Source organism: Homo sapiens, chromosome 5, assembly GCF_000001405.40.
Source record: "Homo sapiens chromosome 5, GRCh38.p14 Primary Assembly".
NCBI classification, from domain to species: domain Eukaryota; kingdom Metazoa; phylum Chordata; class Mammalia; order Primates; family Hominidae; genus Homo; species Homo sapiens.
The window spans coordinates 66,814,058-66,829,689 of NC_000005.10; the positions used below are offsets into that span (position 1 = coordinate 66,814,058).

General features: G+C 39.5%; 1 protein-coding gene across 15 annotated transcripts in view; it reads left to right on the plus strand.

The window, feature by feature from the left end:
* Positions 1-15,632, plus strand: part of MAST4 (microtubule associated serine/threonine kinase family member 4) — a 573,201-nt gene that overhangs the window by 217,665 nt on the left and 339,904 nt on the right. For 4 of the 15 annotated variants that reach the window (NM_015183.3, NM_001393526.1, XM_017009450.2 and 1 more), the window contains exon 1: positions 14,716-14,825. The exons of 10 other annotated variants lie outside the window; for them this stretch is intronic. In NM_015183.3, the coding sequence (NP_055998.1) occupies positions 14,787-14,825 (39 nt within the window). In that variant the 5' untranslated portion in view covers positions 14,716-14,786. Of the gene's footprint in view, positions 1-8,205; positions 8,842-11,625; positions 14,684-14,715; positions 14,826-15,632 lie in introns of those variants that run through there. One more of the 15 variants, XM_017009452.2, reaches the window with a different exon arrangement.

Sequence of the window (15,632 nt, forward strand, 5' to 3'; positions counted from 1 at the left end):
GGGTTAAGAGGAGGATGGGCCTCCAGGGGCCACTTCTCAGGAGCAGACAGTGCTGTTCTGTTCCTTCTCTCTCCCCTGGGACCTTAGGGAAGGAGATATTTTTCAGTTTTGTGATGTTACCTGGCCTAGTAACAAATTATGAAATCAGAATAACCTGTTTATGATCAACATGTACTTCAAACATTTGGAAAAATAAAGAATTGCTCACTGTGCCTCCTCAGTGCTAGGGAGCTCTTGGATGCTGGGTCATCAACGTGGGAGGGAGGTGATCACTTTCATTATGGCCTCGGGCAAGCATTTTCCTGTTGTGGGGCTTTTTTTACCTTTGGCTACCTCCCTTGCGCCTAATCAAGTATGAGGAGCAGCCACAGATATGTAAAAGAGGCCAGCAGTCCCTTCTGGCTCATTCAGAGCATCACCTTCTAGAGCACCTTTGATGGGACAGGCTCCGCATTTCTCATTAGATGATCCTCTGAAATATATTTCTTCTGATCTTCATCTCCAGAGACAAGGTGAAATGCACTGATGAAGGTGGTAGTTTGTCCACTAGGTGGCACATCAGCAAATCTCCTTTGCAAGGGATGGAGGTAAAAATACTGGGGATTTTTAAAAAGATGTATCTGTCAAGCATGTGAGATAAAGGTATGCCCTACGTGCAAGGTGATTTGCTAAGTCAACTGGGGGAAGAAAACATTCTAATTCTCTCATTGTAACAAAATTGCCAGGAAGAACTTTTTAAATGCTAATAGACTTGTTGAAATTAAAAAGCTTTATGATGCATCCTAGAGATTTTTTTTTTCCCCACAAAAGTTGGGCTGCAGATCACTGCTGCAAGTAAGAGAATGCTGTTAATCTTGCTAGCATTCTGAGTATATAAAATAACGTATGGAAGATGTTTAGACATCCTAGGTTTATATATTTGAATTATGTTCTGAAAATGGTGCATACTTGAGCTAGAGGGATTCCTACCAGTAACTTTTTAAAAAATTAGTGGAACATGTTAGGTATAACTTACATTTGAAGGAATAGACTTCATGTTGCTAGAATGCATTATCAGTAATTCTTATTGCATGCACAACTAAACATAGCTAAATGAATAACTCCATGCTGAGCACATATTAGTTATGATTTTTATACCAAAATGTTTAAAAATACTTCTTTAGAAGCATATAAAGGAAGCGACATTTCTATTTCTTAATCCAAGTATCCCTTCTGAAAACTGAGCAGTAAAATTAGTAACATATTCCCCCCTTATCTGAGGCTTGACTTTCTGTGGTTTAAATGGGTGAATACAGTACAGTATTTTGACAGATTACATTCACATGACTTTTATTACAGCATAGTTATAATTGTGCTATTTTATTCTTGTTAATCTCTTACTGTACCTAATTTATAAACTTTATCATACGTATGTATATATTTTAATAGAAAAAAAACAGTATATATGGGGCTTGGTACTATCTGTGGTTTCGGGCATTCACCAGGCATCCTGGAACTTATCCCTGGAGTGTAAGGGGAGACTGCTTTCCTTGTATTTCAGAAGACAAATAACGTTTTTAAAAAATTCTTCTTTCTGGTAAAGCATTCAGATTTTATTTTATTTTTCCCCCTAAAGAAACTGGTATTATTTATGATGGCTTAGGGTATTGCTTTACAAATAAGAATCAGATTTAATTTATTAGGTTTGTCTGTAGGTAAAACAGGATACATACATCCTTTTGAATCCAGTTTTCTTTAGAGGACAGTTGAAGTGTACAATTAACAGGCTCCTCACAAACGTCCTTACCTGCTGTCCCAGAGGAGAGTGGTGACAGGTTTTCAGGGTTGTCAGGTAAAGTATGGAATCATCACCAGGGTTCAGGTGGCATTAGAGAAACCTCAAGGAGGAAAAGGAGGAGGAACCTGTTAGCTTTTAATAATTGAGTCATGTAATGTCTTCAGTAAAGCCAGGATAGACAGGACTTATCCAGTTCACTGAACTTCAATTTTAGAGGAAGATTGAGGAAAAGTGCCCTGCCATTCCATGCAAATGCTAGTCTTTGGTGAAAAGAGATTAAAAATATTATCTTATGGCATGCTTGTCTAACCCGCAGCCCAGGACAGCTTTGAATGCAGCCTAACACAAATTTGTAAACTTTCTTGAAACATTATGAGATTTTTTTTTGTGATTCTTTTTTTTTTAAGCTCATCAGCTATTGTTAGTGTTCATGTATTTTTTGTGTGGTCCAAGACAATTCTTCTTCCGATGTGGCTTAGGGAAGCCAAAAGACTGGGCACCCCTGTTCACGGCCACAGGAATCAGTGCTTCCTTTCCCTCTGTTTCTAATCAATCACCTCTCTCATCCCCTCACCTTTCCTCAAGTTTTATAATCATTTATGATAAATATTACAGGAACATAGTAGGAAAGTCTTTTAGGTATTTGAGCTGTTTTATGTAAGAGTGTAGTAAGCAGAAGGAAATTATACTCTGCGAACCTGGAAAGAGAAAGGGACAGAATTTGTGGGGTCTGGTTTTGTAGATCTGTACAGGTATCAAAGTCCAGGATGGTTTGAGGTTGGAGAGAATGGCTGCCTTTAGGAGCCAGGCCCACTGTACCCCGGCTGCCATCACACTGCATTTTCAGCTCCATTACCCATGTTTGCCTTTGCACATGCGGCTCTCTGGGCTTGGCATTCTTCCCCCAGCTCCCCATCCATCCTCTACCCCACTTAGAATTTCTGCTTCCATTAGACTTGGGATTTCTAAACTTGTCTGCACTTTGGGATCACCTGGGGTGACTTCAGAAACTACTTACTTCCAGAGATTGTGATTTAATTGGCCTGTTTGTGGCCTTAGTTTTTTTGAAATTTATAAAAGACCCTCCAGTGATTCTAATGTGCAGATAAATTTGAGAACTACTGTTTTGGACTCTGTTCACCTCGTCTCTCAAACCTACCCTTACCCTCTACCCACCCTTCTGAGTTATTCCCTTCCTCGGTGCTTCTGCCCCACCAGCACCTGGAGTATCTTGTCCTGGGTCTCCACTTATCTCCTTGTATTTTATTTGTTTATCCATGTGTCTTGCGACCCCATGACTGCATTCTGGTGGGACTGAGCCTTTTTCCTCTGTCTATTCTTAACATCCATCATAATGCCTGATTCATAGTAGATATTTAGTGATTGGCTTTTGAATCAAGGGGATAAAACAAAATAGTAATACAATGATTTAAACAAATCGATTCATGTACTTCTGACTCAGGGCATTTTTATTGCCCAGGTAGATAGTTCTCCTTTACTTGAAAAACCATTGACTCCCTAATCTCCTGTCATTGCTTAAAGCAATGATAAGTATATAAAATTAAAGAAGAATATGTTCTGTTGTGTGGTATTAGCTTGAGTCACAAAAGCCAGCTTTAGATAAGGGGACAAAGAGGGCTAAGCCTATGTTCAATAAAGCTCAAGGAAGTGAGAGTAAAGTGCTGTCAATTTCTAACAAAATAATTCCCCATTGCCTTACTTAAAGAATATTAATTTATCTAATTGATGATAATCTGGTCAATTTATTATAGCATTAAAAATGCAAATCAGTTAATATACCAAAATATTCATTGTCGTGCCTGAGAATTTTTAAATTTTATTTTATTTTATTAGGTGATAATGGGAGGCATAATTGTGAATGTTTGATTCTGGCAAAATACAATTAGTTTCTGTGAAACACATTGTGCATTAATGATATCATTAAGATTAATGAATATAAATGAATGAGCTGGGGATTTCAAACAGAACAGAGGGACTTTATATCAGTGTATAAAACTTGAGATAGATTGTCTTGATTTTTAAGGATAATGTGCTAGAGCCCCTATTAAATTCTTATATAAGCTAGAGAGAAAATAAATCCAAGAAGTTAAATCAACTTCCAGAAGGATCAAACTTCTTAAACGTCTACTGTCATTTTTTGGAAGAGTGCTGTAAATGGATTTTGGTAAAAGAAAGCCATCCTTAAATTTTACTTTAAGAGCTATTTTAAAGACAACATTTAATAGTAGTTTCCAGGTCCTGTATACATAAGAGTGCATGTACATTTTGGTTATAAATCATTGCTCATTTAAATTAGATATGACTTTAGGGTGTTCTTGTATCTTCCAGATGTTCTACCATAGACATCTATTACTTTTATAATTTTAAAATGTTATTAAGAAAACTAGGCATACGTTTGCTTTTCTTGAACTAAGAGACGGAGAAAGGCAAAAGAGAGAGCAGCTGCTCATCAGAGTCTTAGGGAAGAGCCATGGACTCAATGTATACCTTGACCCCAAGAATCACATGGTATTTTGAGTATTGATGCTTGACTCTGTGGTTTTGTAGTATAAAGAGAAATTTTGCCACTAAAAATAAAAAAAAAAACAGAACAGATTTCACTATGGTCTGTGCCCTTGTAGTTTAAACATTGTAATTTCCACATCCTCTTGCTCAACTAGATAAATACAAATACTGTGTCCTCAGGTGATACTTAATGTGACTTCTTCCTATGTATATCTCCTTGGTCTGATCTTCACTTAATGCTTCTGTTTCTCCCACTATATGCATATGTATGTGTGGGTACGTGCACATTTGGTTTTTTATTTGTTTGTGTGTCTATCTGAAAGTTCTGCAGGGCAGCGCTTGCCCTTGGATTGCTGCTGCAGTGGTGATGAGAAGGATGAGGAAAGTGCAGGAAAAAGGGGAGGTGTTCAGGAACATGGCGGCCACCTGGGCCCTTCGTTCTGGCATACAAAGCCTGAATTCTCTTGTTAGCTCTGCCTTTTTTACTATTTTCATGACCTTGGGCTCTTCTTGGAACCTCATTGTCTCACTTTCCTCATTGGTAAATTGGACCGGTCTCTTTTCTTTCTACTTCTCAAGAAACTGATGAGGATTAATGAGATAGAATCTGGAGCCCGTTTTGTGTTAAAAAGAGTTAAGGGATGCTAGAAGACGGAGTTAATGTCATAGAGAAGGGGAACACACATTGCTTACCGTGTGATGTGATAGAGTCTCAGGGAGCACTTCTCTTTCAACTGTTAACTGTTAACTAGTTGGCAGGTGGCAGCCTCATTTCTATTTGTGTCTGAAGTGGATGACATGTTAGTGCAGGATGATAGGAAGTCAAACCAAATGCAGGGACTGGTGGAATGACGAGCAAGATTCATGGGGGAACATCTAGCCTTCTGCATTGCTACCTGAAAGAAACTTAGCTATTTAAAAAAAATAATTTATATATACCTCTCAAACCTATTTGGCTGCTCAATATTGGTGAAAGTCACCAGAAGTGCTTGGCTATGTGTGTGTAATGCAAACAAGATCAGAGTGAAGCTTGTGGTCAAAATCTCAGAATTCATTTAACGTAATGCCTCTAGGTAGACTAAGGCTGAAGACATGATCTTAAACTTAGGGTTTAAAATAGTCAGCTTGCACAGGCGCTTCAGATCTGTGTTGTAATGCCTGTCAATATAAAGACACAGGTGTAAGAAAGAATGCTTGATTAATTCACATGAGGGATTCCATACTAATTTTAGTTAACATGTATGTCTTTGGTCAATCATATTTTAAATTCCAGGGTGACCAGCTTGGTTTTTCTCCTTAGAAAATTTTCCAGAGTTTTTTCCATTTTGTGTTTACATTTTTTGTTTTTTTGGGGGGGAAGTTTGGCTAGGCAACAGTGCATTTAACCTAGAACTTAGCTTCTCCTCACTGTGGGATTTTTTTTTTTTTTTTCCAACAGGGTCTCACTCTGTCCCCAAGGCTGGAGTGCACTGGTGCAATCTCAGCTCACTGCTGCTTAGATCTCCCAGGCTCAATTGATCCTCCCACCTCAGCCTCCCAAGTAGCTGGGACTACAGGCACACAGCACCATACCCAGCTAATTTTTGTGGGGTTTTTTCTTTTAATTTTTTTTTTTTTTTTGTAGAGATGGGGTTTCAAACTTCTTAAACATTACAAACTATGTTGCCCAGGCCTGTCTCGAACTCCTGGGCTAAAGCAATCCACCTGCCTCAGCCCCTCAAAGTGCTGGGATTATAGGTGTGCATCACTGCACTCAGCCACTATGGGATTTTTAAATACATGTATAGCCTGAATGTGCTTTTCTAATCTCTGATGTAGTAGCTATACTTGGAATATAGAGTACAAAATTAAAAAAATAATAATTTTCCTTGATCTTTTATCTCTAGGTATATCTTTTCACTTTAGGGATAATTGTAGGAATCTGTGTTTCAGAAGCTCATAAAATACTTAGATGATGCCAGTAGTATTATCTTCAGTAAATATACATGTTAACATATGAGTTTCTAAAGCTTTTCAATTGATAGGTATCATACAATGACAATACTGCCAACATCACTTCACTCATCTATTCTCTTCTTAATCTATGTATTAATATGACATATGGGACTTTGCTAAATATTAGTTCATGGTCCCAGCGTTAGCTGTGCATCATTTAGACATGAAGGGACATAATTGAAAAAATATATATTGGAGCTATTTCCAATTGTCAGATCTTCATAAACACTCTCATATGAAAAAAATGAAGTTCTATTACCCAGTTTTATTAGAAATGCTATATTTTGTTGGATTCGTGTGTTTGCAAAGTAGAGAATATTTTCCTGCTGTGATTGATGTTAGGGCATTTATGAGGATAGTCTGCTATATTTCATATGTATATAAGGGTGTCATTGTTAAAATGTTCAAAAGAAAATTATGTATGTGATTTATATTTTATTATTTCCTCCTAGGATGTAATTTTTTCAATACCATGATTCCTGTCATATTGTCAGTAGTGATTTGATGGCTAATATGCCAGAAATAATAAGAGAAAAAAAAAGATGATGCAAACGTCAAGGCAATATAGCTTTCTTGTGAAAAGCCTTAAGCAAAATCATGCATGTTACGTTGTAGAAATCACCAATCGCATACATTTAAGAAGTCTTCAGGATTGCAAGTGGGAAGGAAAACTGAACACAGGAAACATGGGATGCGGCATATTTCATAGGCATATGCTTGCTACTGATCCCACCTGCAATTTTTGCTAAATGAAATGTGTTTTAGAAAATGCTACTCTGGATAAATTCAGACTTTGGTGTATTATCAGTGGGAAGGTGTTAGACCCTCTCTTTTATTTGGAGTGGGAAAAATTCCTACTTTCCCTGGAAGGCAGACTGCCGCTTGTTTTAGTCTTTCTGACAGGTTTAAAGTCTGTTTTATTTGGTGAGAAAAAGACATATACAGTACATGTCTGCTGTTTCTTTACCTTTGTTAACTTTAGAGGTTAGAACTTTATTTTAAAATTTCAAATGACTATTTTAAAATATAGGGAAAGAAAATCTGTGGTTTTGGTATTTGTTCCTGAGTGTAATATCTCCTGGTACTTTAAATATTGTGGAACCTGTTTCCAGGTGTCATTTTACTTTTGAGTTTTGATGACACTGGTAATTAATATCTGGTTCATTTGTATGTTACTTTAATGAATAGTAAATATTCCTAAAGAGTAGCCATTAATAACAGCAGGCGGTAGTATTGTAATATTATGGCATTAATTTTATATGGTAATAAAGATTCATGTCAACCTCAGTTAAGGATTTAACCTGTTCTCAGAGTGAACATTAATGCTGTAGTGTGTGTTTTAGGCATGTGAGGCTCAGCTCATCACTGGTTTCTGAGCTTTGCTGTCTGACTTGGGTGTTGAGGAGGGGCTGCTGGGAAACCTCGGTGCCCTCCTCAGCCTTGAGCATGTTCAGGGCAGGATCCTTGAAGCCAGGAAGGTAGCTGAGCAGCTGTGTGAAGCAGATGCTTGGTGAGATGGTAATGGCCTGGAGGAAGATGGGGAGGGTTGGGAGACAGGACTGTGGGTTCAGTAGGGAGGGACCAGGTGTCCCCAGTGAGGGGCATGGGCTGCCCTTACCTTGAGGGCAGTGAGACCAGTTTCTCAATTTCCCAGAAGGTTGCCTCTTCTTCACTTCCCCAGCTTCCTGATGATAAGCCCATAATATTTTCATTTTACAAATGAGAAACCAGAGCTCAAGGAAGTTCAGGGACTTGCCCGGCCTGCCGAGTTTCTCTTTGGCAAAGCCTGCATGGGGACTGGCTCTCAGCACCTGGTACTTCTAAGTACACTGGGGAGGCATGGCTTCCAGGAAATCAAGGCAGATGTCAGAGTTGGGGTTTTTCCTCCTTTCTTCCCAGAACTGCTCAGAACAGAGTGAGCAGCCTTGCCCTGAGTCATTTCACCTAAAAGGAAAGAGAATTAAGGAGTTGCCTTCAATGGTAAGTTCCAGAAAAAGCATCAGACTAGAAAATGAAGAGCTGCCAGAACCCCCGCAAGTTAGCAGGGATGTGTATTATGCCTGGCATGGCAATGGAAAGGGTGCTCTTGGTTTTGTGGAATCCACTTGATTGTAAATAAATGTGTTATATTTAGGACTGTATAATTTTGAAGTCAGAAGGATGAAGAGTTGTTCAAACTCAGAGTGGAGGCCCAGAGACATTTAAGAGGAAAGTAGAAAGAAGCCTGTTTCTGACCAGCCCTCTTCCTCCACCCCTCCTGCCCAGGGGGGTATCTCTAGTTTCCCCTCTAAAGTAGCTGGGGCCCTGCTGCGTTTCTCTCTTATAGGCACATGGCTCAGAGAATTGGGGATTCAGAATGTTCTTTCTGGTGTTCTGACCATTGACAACTTATGATATGCTCATTTTTCCTTAGGAGCTAAAGGATCTGACACCTTTCACATTATGAATTCACTTTGAAAGCACTGTTTCCTTCTTTGTTTAAACTCCAAGAGGCAGTAGAGCATGGTGTTAGGAGCCCAAACTCTGGAGTCAACCTGACCAAGGTTGGTATCTTATCCCAGCTGATATGGTTTGGCTTGGTGTCCCCAGCCAAATCTCATCTTGAATTATAATCTTCATAATCCCCATGTGTCAAGGGAGAGATCAGATAGAGGTAACTGGATCATGGGGGCAGTTTCCCCCATGCTGTTCTCATGGTAGTGAGTGAGTTCTCATGAGATCTGGTGGTTTTATAAGGGGCTCTTCCCTTCTCACTTGACACTTCTCCTTCCTGCCATGTCGTGAAGAAGGTGGCTTGCTTCCCCTTTACCTTCTGCCGTGATTGTAAGTTTCCTGAGGCCTCCCCAGCCATGCTGAACTGTGAGTCAATTAAACCTGTTTCCTTTATAAATTTTCCAGTCTCAGGCAGTTCTTTTAGGTATTATGAAAATGGACTAATACACTACTTCTACCTTGGCTTGGCTGTGGAATCTAAGGGAGTTATTTAACTTCTCTGAGTGTTGATTCCTCATCTGTGAAATGGGGATTATAATGGTTCTTCACTTATGTGGTGAGGATTTGATGAGATGATACATATAAAGTACTTACAGCAATGACCGGCACGTAATGTGATCAACAAATGTTGGCCTTTGTTTTGTTTTGAGACTGAGTCTTGCTGTGTTGCTCGGGCAGGAGTGCAGTGGCGCGATCTCGGCTCACTGCAACCTCCACCTCCTGGGTTCAAGAGATTCTCATGCCTCAGCCTCCTGAGTAGCTGGGATTACAGGTGTGTGTGCTGCCACATCCCACTAATTTTTATATGTTTAGTAGAGATGGGGTTTCACCATGTTGGTCTCCAACCAACATGTTCGGCTGGTCTCGAACTCCTGACCTCAGGTGATCCACCTGCCTCAGCCTCTGAAAGTGTTGGGATTACAGGTGTGAACCATGGTGCCCGGCCGGCCATTGTTATTAATATTTAGAAGTGAAACATGTGGGAAAATAAAGTACAAAAATTAAGAAGGAATTTAAATGTAGACACTAATCTCACAGCTGTGTTGCTCTTTGGCATTCAAGATATGATTATAATCACAATAATGGATGTATGTATTTTCATGAATCATCTGTTTCTCCTTTGTAATCTTTTATGAGCTAATACAACATATTCATTGGCCACTGGCAGCTATCTATGAATGGAAAGAAGTAATCAGTGAATGAATGGAGATATTCATCCACTTGGCCATATTGACTTACCTCTGAATGAACATTTAGAGAGACATATGAACCCTTGGTCTGTTGTCTACAAGTAACCAACGGAATATTTACTTTATGGCTGTCTACCTTGTTGAGAAGTAGTGATCACGGTCACACTTAACGCAAGAAGATGTTTAGGAGAGATCCCACCCCAGATTGTACTGATGGTATTGGAAATCACATTCCTAGCACACCAAGAACTCTGACTGGTGGGACGAGGGGCAGGGCAACACAGTGGTACTCCTCTCTGTCACACTCCTCTGTCACTCTTCCTTCTGGCTAGTGTGGCGGGAGAAACAACTTTACCAGAGGACAATCCTCTCCACTGCCCTCCGACTTCAGCTCCCATCGCTTTTGGATAGGCAGTTCAGCGAGAGCTGCTGGATGGGGCTGGATTAGGCCAGTGGAATGGAGTGGGAACTCCTCAAATGTTCCTCACAGCAGTTCCTCGATGAACATTTCAGTTACTGAAGAATGGGTAACATCGGAAGATTTGCTTACTTTGGGGTAACCAACACAGAACTAGTGAAGAGAGGTAACTTATTTCTAAGTACAGTCATGCGTCACTTAACAAGGACATGTTCTGAGAAATGTGTTGCTAGGTGATTTCATTGTTGTGTGAACATCATTGAGTGTACTTACACAAACCTAGATGGTATAGCCTATTGCTCCTAGTCTACAAACCTGTACAGCATGTTATTGTACTGAATACGTAGTCATTTGCAACACAATGGCAAGTATTTGTGTATCTAAACATAGAAAACATACCTGAAAAATACAATATAAAAGATATTTTATATCTGTATAGGGCACATATGAATGGAGCTTGCAGGATTGGAAGTTGCTGTGGGTGAGTCAATGAGTGAGTGGTGAGTGAATGTGAAGGCCTCCTACATTACAGTGCACTACTGTAGACTTTACAAATAATGTACACTTAGGCTACACTGAATTTATAAACAATATTTTTCTTTATTCAGTGATAAATTAACCTTAGCTTACTGTAACCTTTTTACTTTATAGACTTTTTAATTTTAAAAACTTTTAAATTCTTTCGCAATATCACTTAGCTTAAAACATGCATTATGTGGCTGTAGCAAAATATTGTTTTCTTTAAGCTTTTTTCTATTTAGAAATGTATTTTTTAACTTTTTAACCTTTTTTGTTAAAAACTAAGACACACACACACACACACACACACACACACACACACACACACACACACACACAGGCCTAGTCCTACACAGAGTCAGGATCATCAAGGTGTCATTAGGCAAAAGGATGTCTTCAGCGCTATTACGATCTTATGGGACCACCATCATATATGTGTCCCATCATTGGCTGAAATGTCAGTATGTAGCACATGACTGCATGTGAAAAATATCTGGCCGTGTAAATCAGAGGGGAACCCATATCCTTGTACCAAACATCACCATGGACAATATTACAAAATCTCAATATACGCTTTTTTGAAATGTGTTCAACCAAACGTTTTCTTTCCCCCTTGTTTTTCTCAGTTGGTATTTGGAATTGTTTTTGTTTCTGTAAACCATTTAATTGCAATAATTCTTAAAATTTAAATTTGACCTTTATTACAGTGACCATGGATTTTGAGTATTCCAGGAAGTAAATTATGCCTATAATAGAGTGGGCATGTGGCGTATCCATACAGGTAATTTTTTTTAATGAAATACTGCAAAGCCCCTGGCTTTAGATTACAATTAATGACAAAGCCTACCAGATTTTATGATTTGAATACACATGTAAAAGCAATACATATTGAGGCTGGTACTTTGTGAATTGACTCACAATATTGTGAATATATTCCATGGAGGTATAAAATCACAGGAAAAATGAGTTTATTAATGGAAATTAGGCTAGATCCTGATTATTACCTGTGAATAGTGTCATCATTTGAAGTTTTTATTGCATTTTAACACATGGCTTATCTTGATGAGAAAATATATAGCAAAGGGTAAACGTAGCAATTTTCCTTTTACTATTCCCTCCGCTAAGCCATTATTGCTTGATGTTATTTTTCAGCAGCCTTTCATTTTTGTCCCAAATGTTTTTGCCTCTGGCTGGTTTTATTTCTTTAAAATGTATGTGTATCACTTCTCAAAATGATACATTTTGACAGGTAATCGATATTTTTTCATACTAGATTTGATGGTATGATGGTCATAATCCTCATTTTAGACTTAGTTAATGGTGGAACACTCACTTAGATTTTATCTCAAAATATTCCTTTGTTAAGAAACATACTTTTCGTCCTTAGCCAGATTCCTATTTATCACTCCCACCACCTCCCAAACACCTCGAGCTGCAGAGTGCCTAAGATGCATGCACGTCAGCTGACATTTTGACAGTGTGTCCTCGAAATGTCTTCTGATAGTACTTCCAACTAGCTTACACGATTGGTCACAGAAAAGATACTTCTGGGCTCTCTACCTGTTTTGTTTTGTTCTCCTGATGACCCGATTTGTGTTTCAAGGGGAAAACTGGTTTGTCCTCCCACCACCCCCCCCAATCCCCCGTCTCTTTCTCTGTAGTGGGAATTTGTTGCCCTCCTCTAGACCCTAGTTTTTCTAGAAGGACCAGCACAATGAAGATTGTAGTCCTCAGAGTAGAAGTGTATATGAGTACACCATGCTTGGCTTTTGCTTTTAAAAATTGAGCTTCTTGGGTCAAGATTTTTTCCAAAATCTGTCAGGACTTCCTTTTGCCTCTGTGGGCAGATAGCAATGACACTGTAAGCTGGTAAATATATTCGGAGCTGCTGCCAAGGCTTTGTCTAAAACAACTCTTGACATTCAGGGAACTTTCTGTGCTCCTCTCTCAGGAGGGTGACTTGAGATAGAAAGCAGGCAACAATTGTCGTTCCCTTCGTTTTCACTGAAGAGCCAGATTTTCTCTTTGCAGGAACAGATTAAAGTGCAGGTGAGCCTGTGAAGGTTGGGGGTCTGTTCTCCACCAGCATTACAGATTGCCAAAAGATAGAACAAGGCTGGCCCTTTCTCCTCTCTTAAGTGGCTTTTGTTTCTTTTATTTTTGTCCTTTGATTTAAACAAAAAACGTAGTTTTAAAAATCTTTTTTAAAAATTCATTTGTGCTAGAATTCGTTGATACACTTTGACTTGAAGAATGACCAGTTTTTGTGCTGTATTTTGCTTTAGAGATGATATTACTCCTCCACATATAAGCGAGAGCTAAAAACTCTCTGGGGTTTTCTTCCTTAAGTGGTATCAAATCAACATGCCTAAGTGGAAAAACACCCTGACACCCTTCTCTGCTGGGGTGGCATTTCTTGACAGGCTCCTCTTTGTATGTCTGGAGATATATGCAAAGACCGTTTGGGAACATAAAATGCAATCAATTTTCCTCAGTGGTTAGATTCATAAATCCCTGAGCTATTTTTAATGACATAATCTAATCAATTGAGAGCAAGCGTATTAGTGTGTTGACAGACAGAAAGAGATGGAAAACCAGTGGAATAGCAGGTGAATGGGTAGGGAACCACTAGACACTTCCTTCCCCTCTCCCACATTTAAACATCACTAGATAACTGGGTTAAGTAAAATCCAGGAGTTAGTGATTTAAAAAAATGTTTATACCTGTCTTCCTAACTTTCAAGAAAAATAATTATTCTAATGGATAGAGTGAAAGAGGTCGTTCTTAGACAAAGTACAGTTGGTCCTTGTATCTCTCTCAGGATCAAACTATTCTCTCAATTTAAATATCTTTAGAATAGACACCAAGGAGGAATAATTTATTATGAATTGGTAGTGTCGTATGTTGTTACTCCTGTGCCATGCCAGTAATGAAAACTTAATATTCATCTCTTGGTTGCTTTCAATTGAGATAAGATGAGGATGAACGGAGTAAACAAGCTGAGACAGACTGTGAAATTGCACGATGGGAATTTTTTCTTTAGCTGCTTATACACTATACATAGGTTAAATATTCCAACTAATGATGGCTCTTAGAATCCCCTCCACCCAACCTTTTTACATTTTGGTCAGGTATCAGCAGAACTAAGTTATTATCATGAGGGAAATTAAACTGTTTCTGTCTTTGAGCTAGTAGGAACTGAAGGGCAGGTATTTATGTAAATGAATGGGCTTTCATGCTGGGAGGTGTAAAGGGTTTGGTGGCTGGAGAGCAGCTGCCCTGAGCCCTCCGTTTTCAGGTTTGCAGGCAGCATGTGTGTTCTGCTACATTTTTGTTTTCTTTGATGCCTTTGGAAGAGATGAGCGCCAGGCATAGTGGTGCTGCTTGGCTGACCAGCTGTGCCCTAGTTTTTCACCATCCCAGTCAGCGGCTGCCTTTTACAGAGGTGTCTGTCACCGCTGATTTACTTAGCCACTGTGACCTTATAGTTGCTTCAGATGGGGCTTGACCCAAAGCTACTGCCGAAAGCCATTTAGTGGTCTCCTGAAATGCCACAGCCAGCATTCTGAAGAAGAGAAAACAAGGATCTCACGATTTCCTGTCTAATAGCAAGAGCCTCCTCCACCTGGATAAATGCATTAGGTGTCTGAGCCCACTTGCTGCTCTCTCCCACCGAACTGCAAGCATCCGTGATCTCCGAAGTTGCTGGAGTGAATAACTAAGCTGGACCAGCTGACTCCGGGCTCCAATCAGCTAGAGCGTGATGTAAGTGTTTAGCAGCTGCCGGGCTCTGAATTAGCGTGCTGAAGTAGAGGTAGTACAGCATGGCTAGACTGTTGTGAGAGGCTCAGAGAAAGCAGAGGGTGAGATGGATGAGTCCAGCATTCTAAGACGAAGAGGGCTCCAGGTAGGAGACTGCTCCATTCTTGACATGTAGCATTGTCAGTGGCCAGCCATTGAGGATTTCAAAGTTCCCTTGTCATTCCTTTACTGGGCACGAATATGTGCATAATTCTTAGTATCTACATGGCAACGCTATACGGAGTTTCTGGTTACAGGTATGACACATCACAGGGTTCAGTGAGGAAGCTGCTTTTGTCAGAGACAATAGATATGACTTTTAGTTTGACACTTTGGTGGTTTGTTTTTCTACTGGTTATTCAAGAATAGTTAAATTGTGGCTGGCAGTGACAGCTGATGCACTGATCTGGCATGCCGTCAAGTGTCTGGGAAGTCTGTCGAGGGGTAGCAACTCCTTTCAATTCTGGGAACGCAGGACTCAGTTTTGTGTCGGGATCAACCTCCGCTCGGCGGCATCTGTCTGATCGCCTTGCAGTTGTGTGCAGCTGCTGGGAATTTTCCCCGTCAGTGAAATGAAAGTTTTTGCTGGCAGCTCAAAGTTTGCTGTAATTTGTTTATGTTGAGATGAGAAAAGATATGTAACTCACTGCCTTGCTTTTTTGTACCCAAGTTTCTCTGATGAAATTACTCTGACTTTATTGTACAAATACATTCTGAGTTAAAACTTGGCAAATCAGAAAACTTGGAAAAAACAACAACAACAAAACATCTGCTTGGCAGTTTATAAGTTTAAGGAAGCCAGAACATAAGTATGTTCAACATTAGTATGGTTAACTCCTGCATAACTCTTTGTCCTGTATATAAGTGATATTTTTCTTTGTGAAAGAATCTAATCATTAGCCATTGTTAAACT